The 23264-nt window shown below is 37.4% G+C and overlaps 1 annotated feature.

Annotated features, from left to right (window-relative positions):
• Positions 14032–14326: a silencer, noted in NCBI's record as "tiled region #6905; HepG2 Repressive non-DNase unmatched - State 24:Quies". NCBI's record gives its function as "represses a minimal TATA promoter and a strong SV40 promoter by Sharpr-MPRA in HepG2 cells {active_cell/tissue: HepG2}" and the evidence as "EXISTENCE:reporter gene assay evidence [ECO:0000049][PMID:27701403]".

The raw sequence follows: 23264 nt of genomic DNA on the forward strand, positions 1-23264 counted from the left end.
TTCTAAAAATAGATGAAGTCATACTCTAAGTCTCAATAGAAAATCTGAAAGTGTAAATTAGGGTGTGAAACTTCTCACACCTCAAGTTATAGGGTATCATATTTTCACAAACCATTCATGAAAAAAAGACATTATAATGATAGTTTGTATACTAAATGTGTTGATGTAACTTCAGATCTTTGTAGACCAAATAGATCTATGCCAAAATAAAAAGGAAAGGGTAACCAAGATCTATGAACTAAATACTTGAATTTTTTTAAGTTAATATATCATGTTCCCCACAGTGTTTACTTAACCAAAATTGGAGAAGCTTGATATCTTGCTGAATGGCAATAAGATACCTTAATCCACACATGCAATTGTTTTATTCTATTCATATGCATATATCATATTTCCATATATCTACTATAAATAACATTCTAAATATAACCCATTCCACTTAATATGTAAAACTTTTCATGAAACGAGTATCTTTTTTTTGTTTGTTTTTTGAGATGGAGTCTAGCTCTGTCACCCAGGCTAGAGTGCAGTGGCACGATCTCGGCTCCCTGCAACCTCCGCCTCTCAGGTTCAAGCGATTCTCCTGCCTCCGCCTCCTGAGTAGCTGGAACTACAGGCATGCACCACCACACTCGGCTAATTTTCTGTGTTTTTAGTAGAGATGGGGTTTCACCGTGTTAGCCAGGATGGTCTCGATCTCCTGACCTCATGATCCGCCAGCCTTGGCCTCCCCAAGTGCTGGGTTTACAGGTATGAGCCACCACACCTGGCCAAAATGAGTATCTTTAAACTTCTAACCAAAGGAATAAAATTATTTGTGTTTTTTAAAATATATTTCAGTGTCTGTGGGACTCAATATTAAAGGTGTTGTCAAAAGAAACAGCTGGATGATAATTCAATATTACTTGTCAACTAAGGTCTTTTTGTTGTTTTTTGTTTGTTTGCTTTTTGAGATGAAATCTCACTTTATTGCCCTGGCTGGAGTGCACTGGCACGATATCAGCTCACTGCAGCCTCTGCCTCTGGGTTCAAGCCATTCTCCTGCCTCAGCCTCTGGAGTAGCTGGCATTACAGACCTGCACCACCACATCTGGCTAATTTTCTTGTATTTTTTAATAGAGATGGGATTTCACCACATTGGCCAGGTTGGTCTCAAACTCCTGACCTCAAGAGATCCACCAGCTTCAGCCATCCAAAGTGCTGGGATTACAGGCATGAGCCATTCATTGTGCCCAGCCTCAACTAAGGTTTTTGAAATAATTTGCAAAATTTCATCTTCTGTGTGTCTACAGTTGCTACAATTGCCTCTCATTTATCTTCTTTTATGGCAGCAGAAACCTAGAACTAATATGTTTAGAAAATGAAGTAAACAACTTAAAAATATTGTGAGTGGGAACAACCAGAGAATGCTGTCAGAGCTTTAAAAATTCAACTTCATAATCCCATAACACATACTGTAGATCCATTTGGTGACAAGACCATCTGCAACTCCTGGTGCTAACAGAAAACTGTACATGACAAACTAAGTTTTTGGGGTTTTTTTAAGTACTTTAATCTTATTTTATCCACTTGAATGTCAGTTCTGCTGCCAAAGAAATTTAGCAATTACTCTATGTTGTGATTGCATTAGAAGCTGCTAAAAACAATAAGTGGATGGTGAATAGGTTCCAGACTAAACTCAGAGCATGAGAATGTACAGAAAATATGCTGTAGTTAATTTGCCTAATAAAAATTTTGTTTTTTGTTGTTTGTTTGTTTTTGAGACAAAGTCATGCTCTGTTGCCAAGGCTGGAGTGCAGTGGCATGATCTTGGCTCACTGCAACCTCTGCCTCCCAGGTTCAAGCTATTCTCCTGCCTCAGCCTCCCAAGTAGCTGAGACTACAGGTGCATGCCACTACACCTGGCTAATTTTTTGTGTTTTTAGTAGAGATGGGATTTCACTGTGTTAGTCAGGATGGTCTTGATCTCCTGACCTTGTGATCCACCTGCCTCGGCCTCCCAAAATGCTGGGATTACAGGCATGAGCCACCATGCCCAGCCAATAAAAATTCTTGATAGTAAAGTACAGATTTCTTTGTTTTTATTGAGATAAAATATATGCCTATGATTTACCATCTTTATCATTCTATTTCATCAGTCTACTCTCTGTCTTCATGGGATTCACTTTTTTAAATTTTTCAAGTAGCAGAATGTTATTACATTAATAATATGTTAAGTAATTTGCAGTTTTCATTTTTCTTATAGCCTAAATTTATAAAGTTTTAAAATTATCATCTGTATGAAATTATACAAAATAGCAGCATAGGTCCTAAAATCAGCATGTTCTTTAAACAAATTTACAAGAAAAAATCAAACAACCCCATCAAAAAGTGGGCAAAGGATATGAACAGACACTTCTCAAAAGAAGACATTTATGCAGCCAAAAGACACATGAAAAAATGCTCATCATCACTGGCCATCAGAGAAATGCAAATCAAAACCACAATGAGATACCATCTCACACCAGTTAGAATGGTGATGATTGAAAAGTCAGGAAACAACAGGTGCTGGAGAGGATGTGGAGAAATAGGAACACTTTTACACTGTTGGTGGGACCGTAAACTGGTTCAACCATTGTGGACGACAGTGTGGCGATTCCTCAAGGATCTATAACTAGAAATATCATTTGACCCAGCAATCCCATTACTGGGTATATACCCAAAGAATTATAAATCATGCTGCTATAAAGACACATGCACATGTATGTTTATTGCGGCACCATTCACAATAGCAAAGACTGGGAACCAACTCAAATGTCCATCAATGATAGACTGGATTAAGAAAATGTGGCACATGTACACCATGGAATACTATGCAGCCATGAAAAAGGATGAGGTCATGTCCTTTGTAGGGACATGGATGAAGCTGGAAACCATCATTCTGAGCAAACTATCACCAGGACAGAAAACCAAACACCACATGTTCTCACTCATAGGTCAGAATTGAACAATGAGAACACTTGGACACAGGGTGGGGAACACCACACACCAGGGCCTGTCGTGGGGTGGGGGGAGGGGGAGGGATAGCATTAGCAGATATATTTAATGTAAATGATGAGTTAATGGATGCAGCACACCAGCATGGCACATGTATACATATGTAACAAAGCTGCATGTTGTGCACATGTACCCGAGAACTTAAAGTATAATTTAAAAAAATAAAAAATAAAATAAAATCAGCAAGTTCTACCATTGCTCACAGCTTTTTGTAAACTGAACATGAGGTAAGATAGTCACTGAAATGCATTTTCCCCATCTTATCTGTAGATTATTTAAAAGGCATGATGACAATAATGAAATATAGTTAAATACACAGATAACTAAAACTACAAAACTAGTATGACCAAAGAAAAAAAAATTGATTTCTTTTGCACAGAAAGTAAGCACTGCTAGGCCGGGCATGGTGGCTCATGCCTGTATTCTCAGTACTTTGGGAGGCCAAGGTGGGCAGATCACGCGGTCAGGAGATCGAGACCATCCTGGCTAACACGATGAAACCCTGTCTCTACTAAAAATACAAAAAAACAGCGGGGCGTGGTGGCACGCACCTGTAGTCTCAGCTACTCAGGAGGCTGAGGCAGGAGAATTGCCTGAACCCAGGAGTCGGAGCTTGCAATGAGCCAAGATCGCACCACTGCACTCCAGCCAGGGCAACAGAGCGAGACTCGTCTCAAAAAAAAAAAAAAAAAGAAAGAGAGAAAGAAAAAGAAAAAAAGAAAGTAAACACTGCTGATTTTATTAGACATCTATGTGCTTTTATGTAGGACTTCTTGCTATGATCATGCAATTTATAGCCAGCCAAGAAGCTTGAGTGATGATCAAAATCTTTCTTGTTTCACCTACCAAGCGTTGCTGTTTCACTCGCACTCTGTGAAGCCAGAGGCAGAATCTTTTTTCCAACTTATCAGTGTAGAGAGGGTACCTTTTCTAAGTCACTGTATGTGATGGCAAAGAAGCCCTATCTTTTGGATCATTTTATTTTAGCTAAACCCACCCAAAAGTTTCCATTAAGGCTAGTAATTTCATATAATATCAATCTGAGCAGTTTGTTATTTTAAAGCCTTCTGGTATTTTTGTTGTACATTGAAAACACTTTCAGAATTGCTGAAATAAAATGAGAAATAATACAGAAGGAAATGTATCTATTCTCAAATGGGGGAACATCTCACAATTCATACAAGATGCATCAAAGAATTTAAGAAAGATATAATTTAGTCCAAAATGAAGGATGACCTTGGAAGTGTTCCACTAACATTCCCCAGCATGTGGGCACAAGCACTGGAGATTAGAGAGGGAAAAGATAGGAAATTTCTATACATCGCCCCATATCCACAGGTCATCTGTGGAGGTGAAACTAGAAGAGACGCCAGGAGCTTACATATTAACATTATCTGTTACTATTACTTCTCCTCTAACTTTACTTCTTAACTGACAGCTGTTAGATGTGAAGGTGAGGATGGGTTGTTTGAGAAGTGGAAAAGAATATTCCCAAAGCCAACTCTGCAGTTTCAGACCAAAGATAACTTTGGAAGGGGGGTGGGAAACAAAGTGTCCCATGACCACTCACACTTTCAGTGATTCACTAGAAGGAATCACAGGACTCAGCAGATAATTTTACTAATGGCAAAGATTTATTACAGCGATAGAATAAAAATCAGTAAGAGAAAAGACACAGTGGATTCTGAAAAAATGAATGTTCAGGCTTCGTATTCTATCTTCCTTCTTTGTCATATAGAGCACATATTCCCTCCATCAGGGAAAATGCAGCAACATTCTGTGTTATATTTCTGCTTAGGGGAGCCTGCTTGAGACTAATAATTTAGAATTTGTATTGGGGGCAGCTCAGTAAGTACCTTTTGGCTAGCAACTACAAAAATTCCTGACTTTCAGAAGGAAAGCAAGTCTTCATTATAAATCACAGTGTTTGCACAATCTAGGAACAGAAAAACTACCTTATCAGCTAGTGACAAAGTGAACATTTTGAAAGCCAAGTTACCAGATGCTGGCCAAGGGCCAACCATGCAAGCAGACCCTTCTACAGACCTTCTAACCTCAAGTCGGCTGTGTTAACTCTTCTGCACAGTCCCATTCTGAACCTTTACTAAAAGAATCCCTCCCCTACTCATTTGCCAGATAAAGAGAGGTGAAATTAGACTAGACAAAACTGAATTAGGATGTTTTAAGCTGCAGACCCAAATACAGAAATGAAATGAAGGACTAAATGCAAGGAGAGTAAGTAAAAGTCCGTCTGTTGAGCCGAAAGGTTCTCAGGCTACCCCACTGCCCAGGGGATTGGAAGATTCTACTCTGAAGAAACTAAATATTTCCCAAGAAAACACTATATCGTACTTCATGTAAAGATTTTTCAGTAAAATATTAAAATATCTGTAATGTATTTTTAAAATTAAGTAACTTATTAAGTTCTTTTAGTAGGTACCTGAGATGATTTGCTAAGTATTCCTTTTCTAAAAACTGCCTCTTCCACTATCAACCTGATTTATATGGAAGTGCTTCTTTCAATACGGTGTAACCCTGTCCCCTGGTCCAACTTGATTTAGGGTTTGTGCCCAATTCATGTTGAATCCCTTTCTAGGATATCTTAACTCACCCCTAAGGAAAGCTTGAGGTCATTCTCTTCTCAGTGCCTTCAAAATAATGAGGTGTCAAATATGGAAATCATTGGCAACCGCATTTGCTACCGGTATGTGGATAAATTCGTCTTGCAATGAAAGAGGATAAAGTTCAACAATGAAGAGGAATGGTAGCACATGAGAACTTGGTATAAAATGTGCCATTCTACCAACACTCCCTATAACCTAATTATTTCATCGGTAAAATGAAGGAATTGAATGCTTGTTTTCAGTCCTGGCTTGGCTTTGGGGTCACCTGGAGAGGTTTTTGCCTTCGTTTGTTTTTTTTTAAAGCCCAGATCTCACTTTTCATACCTTTTCATTTCCAAGTACCAAATTCTATGATCCTATGATTCAACTTGAAAAGTTATTTAATATATTAGTCTAACCTGAGAGATGTTATGGAGATAAAGATTTAAGAAAAATTGAATGAATTGAAATTATATCATAGAATCTATATGCATATATCTCATTTATCCATATTCCAAAAGATGCTAGTCAATTAAATATTAGATTTGTTATTGTCACTATTTATCACAATGACAAGAAAGGAATAGAAGTATCTGAGGCAAGAGAAGAGTATAAATAATACCAATGTAGAAACAAAAGCTTTTGTAGTATTTGAGGAAAATCTTGCCGTACAAAGGCAAGAGCTTTTTAAAGACAATAATATTAAATTCAGTCATCTACAAAGAATTCAAGAATTGTTTTCAAATGTCTATTTTATCTTAGAGAACAGCTAAAAAACAAAGATAAGTAGCTGTTCCAGCAGGGCCTTCCAGACCTCTGGCCTCGTATAGATACCCTGAAAATTCAACAAACCAGAGGTCACAGACTTCTTTCCTCCCTCCCAAGGAAAGAAACAGAAGAAACATGTCCATTTCTCATTTTCATCCAAGTCTTAACATCATCTAAAACTTTTATTTTCCAATTTTTTATTATTTTTATAGATTGAGTCAATTAAACATTCAGAGCATCTACACTAGACAAAACACAATGCCAGTTCTAAAAGAAAAGAAAAATAAATACAAATTCTGCCTTACTCTAAATTTACGGGTAAAACATGTCTACACATAAAAAGTATGGACACCACAAATAAATATACACACATTGATATAATATATACACAGACATATATATATATATATATATAGCTCACCTGATATACAAATGTGTGTGTATATAATCTTTATGGCTCACCTGATACATACTCTCTCTCTCTCACACACACACACACACACACACACACACACACACACGAGGTGAGCTATAAAGGTAATAAGATCATATAATAGAGCCATTACACAGTGAAGAGCAAAAGTCCAGATTTGAAATCCAGGATATTCACTTTATAACAGGTTATTTAGTCTCAACTTCCCTATTTTCAAAATGTGAATCATGATATTCATTTCAAAAAGCAGTTGCAAAAATTAAACAGGTGTATATGCAATATGAATATCATAAAATCTAGAATACAGAAACCACTAAAAAGATGAGTTGTCTTAGTCAAGACTCTTTTGATGGCAAGTTTTTAAAAAAAAGTTCAACTATTTTAAATATCTTTCTCAAGGAAATTTTTTAAGGAAAGTTTAATTGGGCATCAAGAAGCACAGAAACCAATAATAAGCCGCTGGAACTCTAAGTAACTATTCTCACAATTGTTTCTCTTTTTCTTTTTCTCTCTGGCCATGTAGCCACAGCACATGTCAACACACACTTTGAAATCTGCAGAAAACTCATAACCACCCATCAAGATCCAGTTTAAATATAATTTGTCCTGCAAAGTGTTTACAAATTCTGCAGAGTAGAATTAATCCCTTCCTCTTTGTGGTCCCATACATACGTACATACTGGTACATGCTCTGTTAAGGTCTATCCTCTTTGAGAGCGATAAGAGTGAGATCCCCAGAACCCATGACTACAGGGACTATCAGAGTCAGCATGGTCTTCCCTACAAATGGTTTTCAAACTGCTGCCTCTTCTATTTCTTAAAGTTCATGGTTTTCCTTTTTTGGTTTCTAAAAATTATGTGCAGATGTTCTGGTTGTCTATCACTATGTAACAAATAACTCCAAGACTTAGTAGCTCAAAACAACAATTGTTGTATTCCCAATCACAATTTCTGTGGATCAGGAACTCAAGAAGATATTGAATACGAGGTTCTAACTCGGGTGTCTCACGTGGCTGCAGTCAAATGTTGGCTGGAGCAGGACCAGGTGACTGACCAAGGATCTTTTTTCTAAACATTGTCCCAGAGCTTGTCCATGAGATCTCCACATGGGATAGTTTGGGCTTCTTTATTGCATGGTCTTCCCAGGACAACTGAATTGCTTGTAAGGCAGGTTAGGGTTCTAGTGTTATTGCTACATAACTAACTACCCCAAGTGGCTTAAAACAACAAAAAATATTTATTTGCTTATGAATGCTTTCAAATTTCATGGTCTGAAATTTGAGCAGGACTAAGCATAGTGTCACCTAGTCATTTAATTAGAAATTGGAGAGTTCACTTTTAAGATGTCTTGCTCATGTGGCTGACACATTAGTACAGTTTATTGGCTGAAAACACAACTAAGACTGTGGAACCGGGATCTCAGAGTAAACCTTTTAATACATTTTTGGGGCTTCTTTAAAGTATGATGTTTGGATTCCAAGGGTGAGTATCCCATAAGAGCAAGGGAATTTTGTGGCATTTTCAAATCTAGTTTCAGAAATCACATAGCATCACCAATGCCACATTCCATTGGTTATAAAAAAATGTTGCTAAATATGCCAAAATTCAAGGGAAAGGAATTAGACTCCACCTCTGGATGGAAGAGTGGCAAGGTTCTAAAAGAACGTGTGTAATGGGAAATCTTGTTGAGGACAGCTTTGGAAAACACAATTTTCCACAGCATATTCCTAAGAATTCCTAAGAACTGGAAAACCTGAAATCTTTGGGGTAGGATGTATTGTAGAATTCAGAATTATTCAGCTATTAGATAGGTTACATGGTATATGTAATATTTATTATGTAAACTCCCCAGTAGATCTGGGAAGTAATTGTAATCAAACACATTAATATTTTCCCAGTATGGTAGTCATTCTAAGTAAATAAACATTACGATGGGTGTCAGTTCAGATCACAATTTGCCACCAAATGAATTGGACACATATATACAAAAACAAAACATTTTCAGAATTTTTTGGGTTTTGGTTTCATAAATAAGTGATTGTATAACAAAAGTTACAATGTTTAGTAAAGATTAATGTCTTGGTGTTTTCTCATGTATCTATAATCTTTTTATTTTTAGGTCATAAATTTTTCAAGGAGTGTAGTACTAGTTTGCAATTTTTATTTTATTTATTTATTTTATTTATTTATTATTATTTTTTTTTTTTTTTGAGACGGAGTCTCGCTCTGTCGCCCAGGCTGGAGTGCAGTGGGAGGATCTCGGCTCACTGCAAGCTCCGCCTCCAGGCTTCACGCCATTCTCCTTCCTCAGCCTCTCGAGTAGCTGGGACTACAGGCGCCCGCCACTGCGTGCCCAGCTAATTTTTTGTATTTTTAGTAGAGACGGGGTTTCACCGTGGTCTCGATCTCCTGACCTCGTGATCCTCCCGCCTCGGCCTCCCGAAATGCTGGGATTACAGGCGTGAGCCACCACGCCCGGCCGGGTTTGCAATTTTTACATGTCAAGATGAAATAAAGGAGAATATTAATTTAACATTTCAAGATTTAACATCTCAAGATCGCCAAGATTTTAGGGTGGAAATCCAAAATCATGTTGGCAATGACAATGAAAACTGTCTTCTATCTAGAAATAAAAAAGAATATGAAGAAAAAACAATGGTGGTGTTAGAGAAAGGTAAGCCTCTTCCACTAACTATTAATTCAACATAAATATGGTTTAGAGGAATCTCAAGAGAAATTTGTTGTTGGCAGTGCTCAGAGATCATTGCTCCTGCATAACTTAACCCCTTTAAAATGTTTAACATTTTAACATGGAAAATTTAATAACAATTAAATTTTTTGATAAAATTTCAGATTTTTCTCTATTGGCACTCTTTCTATGATGCTGTTTAACCTCGGCTTTAACTAGACATTGACTTTAACACCCAAACTTTCAGCATCTGACCAAAATGTGTATTTTGTTACCTCTTTAAACAGTTCAATATATAGAACTGTTACTCTTTCATTTAAAAAATATTTGACTACAAAAGCAAGATAAGAACAAATTAAACATTACTTCATCTTTGATATTCAATAATGTTCATTTTTCCAAAGACTTGTGTTACAGTACCCATTTTATAGTGTTACATATTTTTCAATCAACTTTTCTTTAGGTAATTAAGAAGATAAAAGAATGATTACATTTTAAAGATTAGAGAAATTTTGCATACTTAATCTCACCTCACTTTATACATGGGGCAACCAAAACACAGGGTAGCAAGTTGATTTGCCCAAGCAAGTTTTTAATCAGTGTTGTGAAAATTTTCTTCACTTCAATTTTCTCCATAAACTCGTGTTTAAAAAAACAAATTAATCCTTCCACTATAAATGATACTAGAGGCTCTGTCCTTGACTTCCACTCATTTTCACAAACTAAGAAAAATGAATTATTTTTACAGTTTTTCCTCAGCAAAATATTTCTTAACCCCTTTTTGATCAAATATCAGTAATATGTATAGTTTTCCTGATATATAGGTGATTTCTCAGGTAATACAATTCACTATGTTTAATTTAGCTGTTACATTAAGAAATAAACAGCTGAATAAAATATTCACTGTTAAAAGTTTAAACTATGGCCAGCCACGGTGGCTCACGCCTGTAATCCCAGTACTTTGGGAGGCCGAGGCAGGCAGATCACGAGGTCAGGAGATTGAGACCATCCTGGCTAACATGGTGAAACCCCGTCTCTACTAAAAATACAAAAAATTAGCCAGGCGTGGTGGCGGGCGCCTGTAGTCCCAGCTACTTGGGAGGCTGAGGCAGGAGAATGGCATGAACCTGGGAGGCGGAGCTTGCAGTGAGCCAAGATCACGCCACTGCACTCCAGCCTGGGTGACAGAGTGAGACTCCGTCTCAAAAAAAAAAAAAAGTTTAAACTATAATAACAAAATAATACATATTTTTATTTTTTTTTTGGTCAAACATGAGTCCATAAAGGTTTGCCCAACTACGATCTGACCTATAGATCAGTAAAGTCTGAATCACAAACTAAATTACAACTAAATAACTAAATAACAACATTTAGCATCAACAAAAAGCATGATGAATGCTTTTTGGGTGGTGAACTACTTGACTTTCATTTTGATACAATGTACCTGCATTCAAAATTTATAATAATTCAATTTTCAGCATTTTTTTTCCAGAAAGACTTCTACATTCTATATTTTTCTATAAAATATAAACTGTAGTTATACATAGTCATGTATTCACCCCCCTAAACCTTATTTCCTCCTTTCCCCCAGTACATTTCTCAGAAAGAGGAAAAAAAAAAAAAAAAACAGAGCTGATTTAACACTTTTAACATTAACCTCAGCTATGTCTGCAAGGATATAGAGTGGTGTGATTTTGTTTCGAGGTTTTTCTTTTTCCTATTGGAATGTGGAATGTTAATTTGTGCCTCCGTTTTGTCCAGACTTAAACACCCATTCCCTATTTTATATGTCTTGTAGGACCCACAGAGTCTGAGAATGTGACAGAAGAGCCCTTCCACGTCTGGGAATGCAACAAGGAACATATTATATCTATTTTTAAATCTTCAAAATTCCTGTAGTAGCTGAGAGCTGGAAATGCTACTTGGATTATCTCATTGTTGGACCTCACCTAACACCCAGTTTCCTTTCCCTCACATTGTGTACTTGGACTTTGCTCCTGCCATTTATGTGCTTCCTGCAATACCGTCATAGACCACCATCACCTCCACATTCATTCTCCAACCACTGCTACCACAATACTCTGACTAAATGATAACCTGTGGCTGGAAAGAGTTAGGATACTTTTCTAAAGCCCAAACTAAATTCCACTCAACAAAGTAATTGAATGGTATCTTTGTGAGTTTGAATTGTTAAATAAGGTCTAAATGATAGCATAGGAATGAAGATTAGCAGAAGTCAGTATGGCAGACAAACCAAGAGACTGGAGCTTCACACTTTGGAGAGACAATTTGAGTTTTTGTTCCACTAAATGACATTCATACACGAAAGACACCTGAAGATGTTACAACCACAACACCTCCAGATGTATTTCCAATGGACTCTTCCTTTGAGATTCAGCTTAACTGAATATGTATTTACTGATTACCTTCCACACAAAAGGCTTTATGTTTACTGACTCTTCTGTAATAAGTACTGTGATAGGCAATAGGAAGACAGAGATATCATGCATTCTCCTTCCTTAAATAAGTCACAGTGTAATAGGGATGACAGACAATACTAGGAAAAATGAGCTGTGCTAGAAATACAAGCAGAAAGAGCTGGGAACTCAGAAAAGGGACATCAATTCATCCTGAAGAGAAAAGTGATACTTTCGGGAGAGATATGTGTGGTGGATGGCAGTGGGTGAATGACAAAAGGGATTGGGACATAAGGTGATCTTAGGCAAGGAAACAAAACAGATAAAAGCACTGGACAAAGCATAGTACTTTCAGAAACCACAAATTGGTGTGCTGGGAGCTCATATGTAGGTGTGAGATGAGATAAGGCTGGGGAGATAATATCATGGAATAATACTATGAAGGTTTCTATATTATCAGTATAGAGAGTATGGATTTTATTTACCAACAATGAAGAGCCATTGAACCATTGAGCAGTTTAACCAGGGGACAGGAGAGAGTTACATTTAAAAAAATTCTGGAAGCAACAGAATGATGAGATAGATTTCTGAACTAAAGCAGTGGTCATGGAAATGAGAAGGAGGAATTTAAAAGGGATTTAGAGTTTCATCATTTGAGAAACAATAAAGGTGTACAATGATCCTCATTTGTATATTTATCTTAATACTGGGCATTTGCAAAAAGAAATGAGTTAGAAAGAGAAATAAATGGTTTTGATGAGGTTGAGTTTGAGAAACACAAGAAATATCCAGGAAAGAGCCCTCAAGCACTCATAGTCTGGGGAAGGTGGTTACATGTGAACAAATAATAGAATGTGAGTGATGTGGTTTGGCTGTATTCCCACCCAAATCTCAACTTGAATTGTATCTCCCAGTATTTCCACATGTTGTGGGAGGGACCCAGGGGAAGGTAATTGAATCATGGGGCCGGTCTTTCTCCTGCTATTCTTGTGATAGTGAATAAGTCTCATAACATCTGATGGGTTTCCACTTTTGCTTCTTCCTCATTTTCTCTTGCCCCTGCCATGTAAGAGGCACCTTTTGCCTCCCACCATGATTCTGAGGCCTCCTCAGCCATGTGGAACAGTAAGTCCAATTAAATCTCTTTTTCTTCCCAGTCTTGGGTATGTCTTTATCAGTAGCATAAAAACAGACTAATACAGTGAGTACATAGTAAAGGCATAGACACTGGTTGTTTAGAATATAGTTCACCTTTCCTAAGAGACAGTCTTATAGAGGCAATGGCACAGAAAATCTCTCACAGGAGAGGTAATATGTAAGAAGAGTCTTGAAGATCCTTAAATGTGGAAAGGAAAAAGAAAAAAAAAAGTACTAAAGTACAGGATCATAAAGTTCCATGTAGTGGGGCTCTGGATAGTTCAATAGTACTAGACCACAGAACAGACCAAAAAGAAGGAATGACTGAAGATTATATGAGGCTCAGTTTTTATGTTTGTTTGCTTATTTGGGGTTTTAAAACCCATCATTTTGGTTTTAAAAATGATTGGATTAAGCGAAGATTTCTCAACATCAACATTTTTGACCTTTGGGGTCAGATAATTCTTGTTGTGAAGACATGGGGCTGTCCTGTGTGCTAGAGGATGTTCCTCACCATCCCTGGCCTTTACTCATTAGACACAAGTAACACACCTCCCCCTATCTGTGACAACCAAAAATGTCTCCAGACATTGAAAAATATCCCCCCTGGGGAAGGCAAGACAACTCAGTTGAGAACTACTAGGTTAAGTTAGCCAAATTATTGGATTCCCAAGTCATATAAAGAAAATGGTAATTAAAAGGACAGAGTATCTGTTCCATTTTCTAGTCATCTCATATTTTTGCCCACTCATCAAAATTATGTTAATATTTGAATCAGGGATCACTGGAATCATAATTGTCTTATCTCTGAACAATACTTACCTTATATTTTGTCTCTCCCTTAATTATCACTACATAATTAAACTTTTCTCTATTTATGCCTTTTTTCTCTTTTTTACTTCTATCATTTTATTTCTATTACTTTTCCTTTTTCTTCCTATGGCAAAGTTTACTTAACATTACTACAGTACCTTATAGTGTTCAGAGTTCTTTCACAAAGAGTTAGTCATGGTCAGTGGTTGTGAAGGAAGGAAGTTTGGAAGTTTATTATTCACTAAACCTGGAAATGAGAAAGAAATAAAGAAGGTAATGTCATAGTAGCTAAGGAAATACCCTATACCAGGAAACTGAAGGGAGGAAGGAGGGGAGCCTTATTAACAGACACATTCCTTTTTTCTCTCTCTTTCTTTTGAGAAGCTTTTTAAGCCAGCAGAAATAGAATGATTCATTTTTATATATACTTGATATGCTGTAGATGTCTGTAATTATGTTAGCAGTGAAAATATAATGGAATGCATTGGAACAGGGCTAAGGCCTCCCAGGCTCAATATGCTACAAATCATTTAACAAAACATAAATGCAGAGCAGTAATACAGCCAGGTCACCAGGTAAATAAGTTGCATCCCTATCTTCTCAAATTTTTTGACACATTTCAACCTAAGAACATCAGTATCCTTTCATCTAACAAATTGTTAGAAATGTTTTATTTCATGAAGAGACAAAGACCTTTTTGCCTTTCAAATACCTTATTTAGACACTGAGTAGTTAATGTTTTATTTAGAATGATTAATCATTCTGCAAGATTTATAAAATACTTATGAGAGGAAAAAAAAGACCTTTAAGTTGGAAAATTCCTCTCAAAGGAATTCTAAATGTCACAAAGAAAATACTGGGCCAGATTTTTTTTTTTAATTCTCTCTGCATCATAGTGTATAATTCACATCTGGGTTGCCACAAAGAGGCCGTAACTGTTTACGGATCATCATTATCAGAGACAGAAAAATATAACTGTAGTGAAGTGGGGCCCAGGGTAACTGAAATCGCAAGCAGATCTCCCTGAAGGAAGTCCTTGAATCTGGCCTCCCATCCAAGCCAAAGAAATGGAGCCAGACCATGAAAGCATTTTTGTGTGGATGCATAGCTCCCTCCTACAGAGGGCTGCCTCTATGAACAGTGACTTCGTAGTTGGTGCTTTCCCATCATTTTTGTCCCCTTCTAGTCTGTTTCTGGAACAATTTTACAAGGTTAGACAAGATAAATGTTTTTCTGTTAACCTCCTTGTGAGCTGTAAAAAGTATATTACAATCCTTTCACTGAAATGAAGGATTTATGGCTTCCTACTAGTAGTTTAGGTTTATGTTCTGAGCCTCAAGGCAAGATTTTAGAAACAGCTTCACTGCCCCCACAGCCTGTTCTTTCTATATATCCTCCTACTGGCCTTACTGAAAATCCAGTCCTGCCTAACAGAAAGTACTTCCAATTCTAGTGCCTAGGGAAAACATGGCCAGACTGAGAGGGTGCGAGAGACCTCTGTGGGAAGACGACATCCAAGAAGAAATAGCGCATTAATTTGTTGCCTTTTCATTTGAGCAAAAGCTCTGCTCAACTGCCACAGACAGTAAGATAAATCAATGTCAAGAATTCTGCCAGCAAAAAGGCACTAGTATAGAGGTGTTAGGAACAAGAATAAAGCATAACAGCCATGCTGCCTATGGAGAATCCACCCACCTTTGATGGGTCCCCAGCATTGAATAGGCAGCTCTATTACTCATTTTTTACTCTTTTTTTTTTTTTTTTTTTTTTTTTGAGACGGAGTCTCGCTGTTTTGCCCAGGCCGGACTGCAGTGGCGCTATCTGGGCTCACTGCAAGCTGCGCCTCCCAGGTTCACGCCATTCTCCTGCCTCAGCCTCACGAGTAGCTGAGACTACAGGTGCCCGCCACCGCGCTCGGCTAATTTTTTGTATTTTTAGTAGAGACGGGGTTTCACCATGTTAGCCAGGATGGTCTCAATCTCCTGACCTCGTGATCCGGCCCCCTCGGCCTTCCAAAGTGCTGGGATTACAGGCGTGAGCCACCGTGCCCGGCCTATTACTCTTATATGTATGGTTTGCATAATGGTATGATCCTGATAATCCCGCTATCTGTTAAGAACAAGCTAAACAAGGTTTTTCTCTCACTAAATATGTTTCCTTGTAAGAAACAAAACAAAATCTTCTCAATGATCTTTCCATAAAATATCAAGAATCCAAAGAAAACTCTTCATTGACTCAGCACCCATTCCAATCAGACTAATGGAATGGGCGTCATCATTTCTTCTTCTTATGCAGAGAATCTCAGAACATTTTAAAGAATATCAGCATTTCCTGGGAAAATAAAGTGTTAACAGAAAGTGCTTAACAAATTTGTGATGCAATTTTATTTGTATTTATAGACTACGATAGATTTTCTTTTAAATCTGGTGTTTATCCTTTCTCCTAGAACTATAATTTTATCCTATTTGTCAAACACCAGATGTTTAAAAACAAGTTACTTCTGCCAATAATATGTTTTTAAAAATTGTATCTCATTGCAGTTCTAATTTGCTTTTTTGCAGTATTAGCAGTGAGATTGTGATTTTTAAAATATGTTTAAGACCCATTTCTTTTTCTCTCTGGTCATATTCCTTGTGCATTTCATTGTTTGGGTTTTTCTTTTTCCTTTTGTCTTGATTTGGAAGAAGCGGTTATATCATATAGCAAGAAAGTTAACTATTTGTCTGTCTTATAAGTCTGAAACATTTTTGTTCTCGTATTTACTTGTTTCGATTTTTTATGGTATATTTGCCATACACAATTTTTTTAAGTGATTTGCAATTGAATTGCATACATTCTAATTGATAAACTGGATATATCAATCCTTTATTTTATAGTTTCCAGATATTATACCACACTCATAAATACTTTCCCATATTCCAATTATTTATTTTAGTATTTTATAATTTTTCAAAAATTTAAATCTTGTATATATCTGCAATCTATTTTGGAGTGAGCCGCAACTTTTGAAGAAATCCAAATTTATGTTTTTCTAGATAACTACTCATTATGGCAAATCCTTCTTTTCTTCACCAATATGAAATGTCACTTTCACCATTTATGACAATTGCTGTGTGATTATTCAGTCAGGTTTCATGTTTCATGCTCTAATATTCTATTCATGTATTTGACAAACTTTCCTGAGTACTTACTATGCTCCAGGCACTGTTCTTCTGTTTCAGGTACTAGAGATACAGCAATATAAAAATACTTTTTTGAAAAAAAAATAAGTAAGAAGAACAAGGAGGAGGAAGGGAGAGAGAAAAGGTAAAAGAAACAAGCCCTCTTTCTCCACTGGGTTTAACATTCTAGTGGATAGAGATGATCAAATAAATAAGTAAAAATACATTAGATGGTGATAATTGCTACGAATGCAGAGCAAAGCAGAAAGCGGGGAGAGGGTGTTGGAGGTGTGGATATTTTAATGCGTTGGTTGGCAAAGGTTTCATTGACAAAGGAGCGGACACCTGAAAGAGGTGAGAGAGTAAGTTACTAGATCTCTTGGAGAAGAAAATGAACAGCAAGTGATTGTATGTTTAAGGGGCTGTAAGGAAAATAATGCAGCTGGAGTAGAGTGAGCAAGGGAACGTAGAAGAGAAGGACTTGAGAGGGACAGAAGAATTTGGAAGGTGCTGGGTCATGCAGTAAAATGTGATATTTTTGGAGAGTTTTGAGCAAAGAAGTTATACGTTTTATGCATTGAAAGCATTAATATGATGAATATGTTAATAATTACACAGGATTAAAGTGCAGAAATTGGGCAACCAGATAGAAGATTAACAATAATAGTAGTTTAGATCTGGGTAGTAGGGATGAAGGTAGTAAGAAGTGGCAATAAAATGATGGATATATTTTGAAGGTAAAACCAATAGGATTGGTATTCTAGTGAATGCTGGGTGCGATAAAAAGATAATTGTGAAAGACACACAATTTTTGATCAAATAATTTAACAAATGGAATTGCTATTAAGTAGATTGGGAATACTATGGAAGAAGCAGGCTTAGAGAAATATCAGAATTGTTAAAACATCCTTGTATATCTCACATCTGCACCACACATGGGCAAATTAAAATGTTACAAGCTACAACTAATTAGGACCATTCACAAACATTCCAGTCTTCTTTCCAGGCATCTGATAGTATTAGTCTTCCCTAATCAATTTGAAGTTACACATGGCCAAGTGACTAGCTATAGCCAATAAAAGTTAGTTACATGGATGATGGTTTCCAGCTTCATCCATGTCCCTACAAAGGACATGAACTCATCATGTCTTATGGCTGCGTAGTATTCCATGGTGTATATGTGCCACATTTTCATGTACCCTAAAACTTAAAGTATAATAAAAAAAAAGAAAGTTAGTTACATGGAATATCTATCAACTGAAGCCTCCATCAACCTGAATCTCTGAACAACCATATGAGCAAAGCTCTTCGTCCTATGTTAGATATGTAGCCATAACAAGAAATAATTTTTTGAGTTAATCCATTTGAATTTTAACAAATTTTGTTGGGTTAAACCACTTAAATTTTAGAGATGTTTGTTAGTGCAACATATTCTTGCAAACACTACCTGCAATATCCAGAATAATGAACACATTCTGATTGGTATAGAAATCGGAACCCAATGTGAGATGTAGTCATAATGCATAACATAAAACTACTAATACATAGAATTGCTTGGTAATCAGGAGGTAAGTAGTAAGGAAGCTGTTATTGGAAGCTAGAAGGATTATAATCAGTAGTCCTTTTGGTAAAACTGTTTCCTGTAGTGGCTTGGAAGGAAGACGATGTATCTAAAAAGCCTGCAGCCTTCATAAAAGAGATCAGAAAATAGTATCAGCATTGTGTGCTGATTGCTGTTGGCTTCATTTGATAAGGTATTATGAAGAAGAGATGAGTTCAGAAAAGAATTGGTTAACTTCAGCCACTTTCTTTTATAGAAATAAAAATTGAGTAGCAAAAATACAATATACATACAAAGCTGCAAGAGGCTACTATTTTTCCTTTTTCAACTTGTCAAAGAAAAGCTTGAGAATGCCTTACAATGACAAGGCCAATTACAACTCAATAAGGATAAAATCAAGAGTATAACTTTCAAACCCATTCTTATAAGCTCTAGCTAGATTAAGAAGGCAAGAAGAGCAAGTAAAGTGCAACTAAAGGCTTAATGCTTACTTATTTCTTTCCACTGAAAAAATGGTTTAGAGGAAAGAAAAAAAAACAACCTTGTAGGCTCCTAATTAACAGAGGGTGGAGACAGAGGGGAAATAGGATAAATCTAATTAGTATGCCTAAAAGTAAACTATGTGTGGTTGTTGGCATACAAAATTGAATGTAATCTAATACATATGATGCTGTTTTAATACAGTTATACTACCAAAGAAACCACATACCTAAACTGAAAAAGCTCAGTGACTTAAAATGATTTTAGGTCTCCAACCTTCCACAGTTATGAAGCAGACTGATAAAATTGCTCAGCACTCAATGACAGACAACTTTTCCAGTATCTACTTTAGATTACATCAAAGCGTAATGGAAAAGAAGAATATTTTAAGCAGCAGAGCCAAGAACCATGGCGAGTAGTGAATGGGAAGTCCTCCCAATTGGCAGAATTGGGGTATCATTAAATAATATTTTTCACTATCAGCGTAGGCCTGGCTGGGTTTCAGAATTGCTATGCAGCGCTTTGTATCTCACAGTCTTTCCCCTTACTTAATGAGGATGCTGTTGTTGTTATCCTATCCCTCTCCCACCATTGTATAATGGGTGTATAAGAGATAGATAATTTTTATTTACACTTACAGGTCTGCAGACTAAGAGGAGCCATGCCCAGACATGATAAAAAGATTATGGAGCACCACTCACAGATCCTGGACTCAACAATGGATGCAGTCACTGGATGGAACTTTTGGGTAAGGGGGAACCAAATATTTGGGGATCAGAAAGGGCAGCCTTTGGCAGTCATTAGGGCTATTCATAATTGTTCCCATTCTCCTTCCTGACACATGAAAGTGTTACACTTCACTCTTTTTGCCGGTAGGCTTAGAAATATTGCACACATTGACCAATAAAAAGTGACTTATGTCACTTCCAGGTAGTAGCTTTAAGAAAGTGAGATTCCTCATGTTCTCTTTTCCTCTTTCTGTAATTATGAAGGTATATGACAAAATGGATCCTCCATTGTTTTGGGTTCTTGACTGACTATAATGAGCAGAGCCTTCCAACTCATCCGTGTTGGACTTATAAAGTGAGCAAGAAATAAACACTGTGTTAAGTCACTGAGATGTTGTAATTGCAACTGCAACATAACCTATCTTATCGTGACTCATACAATGTTATTTTTAAGTGGAGTTTCTTTCAGAAGCCCAGAATTGACTGCTAGGGCCAAATACTGGACATAAAGTGACAACAACTACCAGGCGCATATCCTGAAGCGAATCACAAATAACTACAACAACACAGTCTTAAGACTTGAGCAGACTTGCCACCCAGGAAGGCTGGCTGCTGACTAAGGCAACACTAGGTAATTCTGTAAACAGTTGGAAGAGCTGAAGCTGCAACCACATCTCTCATGCCAAAAACTGTGGAATAGGAGGCCCCCATAGGGCCCTCTGAAAATACACACCTGCCTCTCCTCAAAGCCAGCTCAGCAAGGCTAACACAGCAAGTCAGTGTTCGTCACAGAAAGAGTGATGATTGACAGTAGTCACCAGCTACAATGGTGATATATCCTTCATCTTCTGCTCCCTGTTCCATTCACAGAAAGAGCTATATAGCATAAGAAGAGAGAAAAGAGAGAAGAGTTACCCCTGGGGGATTCCAGTCCTAGCCTCCCTCCGCACAAGTAAAAGAGGAATGAAAGAGGAGATCATGATCACTCTCCATTTCAGATCTACTGGGGAAAGAGGAGGGGCTAAGGTTTCAATCAGATAGGAAATTACAGTCTTAAAATGGACTCACTTTAAATAATCTAAAGTGACCCAAGATCTGTCCAAGATGTCTAAGATGTTAATCTGTCCAAGATGTTGTTAAGTTATAAGAAAAAGAGATTCATCTGAGTATGGTTTCGGTAAGTGACTGGAGAAAAACAGAATGGTTTCATATTCACTTCCCACTGAGTTTAGACTGTTGGAGAAACCAGTCACAGCTGTGACCCTGTTGGAAAACTGTTGTGCAAAGATGAATGTGGGTGCTGAAAAAGATGTATGTGAGAAAACGGATGTAACAGAACTAGGTTTGAAAGCATGTACAGAATGCTTTGAATCTCCTAAGAAAATATAGAATGAAGTTAAAAAATTTGAGAAAGGAAAAAAAAAGATGAGTGCAGTTTTGTTGCCCAAGAGATAGATTTCTCTCTCATTACTAGAAAAATACCAAAAATGGAGGAGCATGGAAGTTGATTTTTGATGTTCTTATCTCAGACCCTGAATTTCTCAGAAGGAAATCTCTCGCTAAATAAAAAGAACATACAGTGACCAGGATGTCAGAGTACTTGGGTGTGAAAACATCCCTATAGCCCCACACCTAAACATGCCATTTAAGACATCAGCTAATATGCTAGAGTAGACAGCAGGAATGCTGTACTCCTTTTGATGAAAAAAGCAAATTATCAATAATTGAATTCATTTTCCAAGAATGATACTCCCAGCCTAAGAGACATATGAACTGTGGCTGAGACATATTACCAAATACTTTAGCAATGGTGGACAGCTGATAGGCTGTCTTAGGACCAAATGTTGGTGATCTTCATGCTGTCAAAGCCACTACTACTTTAGTGACTGTGAATGCATGTCTCAAGTAATCAAACAGGCTTCTGGATGTGGTTGAATACCAGAGAGCACGGTATGTCAGCCTTTTGGATAAACACCAGGAGGCTGGTTGAAAAGATGTCTGAATATATAGACTGTAACAATAGACTGATCTGGAGGGCTCTGGCTAGGGTACCTGCTATAGATAGAATGCTTGCATCATGAGGGAAGAGCTTGCATGAATGAGATTAGTGCCCTTATAAGGGGCTGAAGAGAACAGAGTTCTTTATGTCATATGAGGACAGAGCAAAAAGACGGCTGTCTGTGAACCCAAAACCCATTCCCTCACTGGACACAGAATATGCACGTGTCTTGATCTTGGACTTTCCGGTCTCCAGAACTGTGAGAAATAAATCTGTGTTGTTTATATGCCAGCCAAATTATGGTAGTTTGTCATAGCGGCCTGAAAAGACTAGGATAGTACCCTTAGACTCAGGAAATATGGATCAGTCTCTTTAAAATAAGTGTAGAAGGGCAATACTTGGCAACTTAATTTGCTCTGAGATCAATCTGCCTAAAATTTGACACTTCTTTCATCTTCTTTCAACTACTAATGCTGATAACGGAAAGAACCGAGAAAGAAAGTGATGGCTCACATCAAGATTTAAGAAACAGGTGTCAAATGGATTTCAGGGGAACTAGCCTGGTAATCTACCAGAGTGAACAAGGCATTATCAGAACAGGTAAAAAGTCCAGGCAGCCACTTTGTCAGATTTTGGAAAGCCTGGTATAAACTCCTTTCCTGAGATCCCTTCCAAAATACACTGGAAAAACAAGCATACTCACTCATACATACAAATGAGCAAGTCCATCAAGCTGCCTACTGTGTGACTGGGCATGCAAAGCTACAAAGATTTATAGGAGGAGGTCTAAGTCTATAGCGGGCTACAAATAACACTGCACAACCACAAAACAGAAGGATTCAGAAAAACCTATAGGGAGTTAGAGAAGGGCAAGTGCCCAGCTTTGCCTGTGGGGAATGTAGGCATTTTGTGTCAGGCTACACTCATCAAAGTGACATCATCAAAGCATAAGAATAGTGTAAAAGCAAAGGCAGCCTGTGGACTTTGAGAACCACAAACCAGTTAGGGAGATAAACTGCCTGGTCCCGTAAGAAAATAGTCTCTCATCCTGTTAGGAAAGAGGAAAATCTTGAAACTCTCCCTGGTGACGGACCCTTGGTAGAGGAGGGCTTGTCTGTGACCTGACAGCACCAGCCTCTCCTGAGTACAGGAAGGGCCTGCAGTGCTCACAATCTGGATCCGTCTATCCAAGAAACTCATGTAGAAATGCAAAGGGTGTTATAAAATAAGAGAGAGACTTTCTTAGCCAAGTTTTTTATTCGAGGCTGTTGAAGAAGTGAGCAATATGTTATGAATTCTGGTTGGAAGATCAGCCCAAACTGTTGTTCAGAATTCAATCCTGTGTGGCTTTCTTTAAGGCAAAGATAGCTTCTCAGTGCCTGATGAAGCCATAGATGCCTTGAGCAGTCAACCATGGGAAAGTGAAGAGCTCAGAGGGT

Source organism: Homo sapiens, chromosome 6, assembly GCF_000001405.40.
Source record: "Homo sapiens chromosome 6, GRCh38.p14 Primary Assembly".
Lineage (NCBI taxonomy): Eukaryota > Metazoa > Chordata > Mammalia > Primates > Hominidae > Homo > Homo sapiens.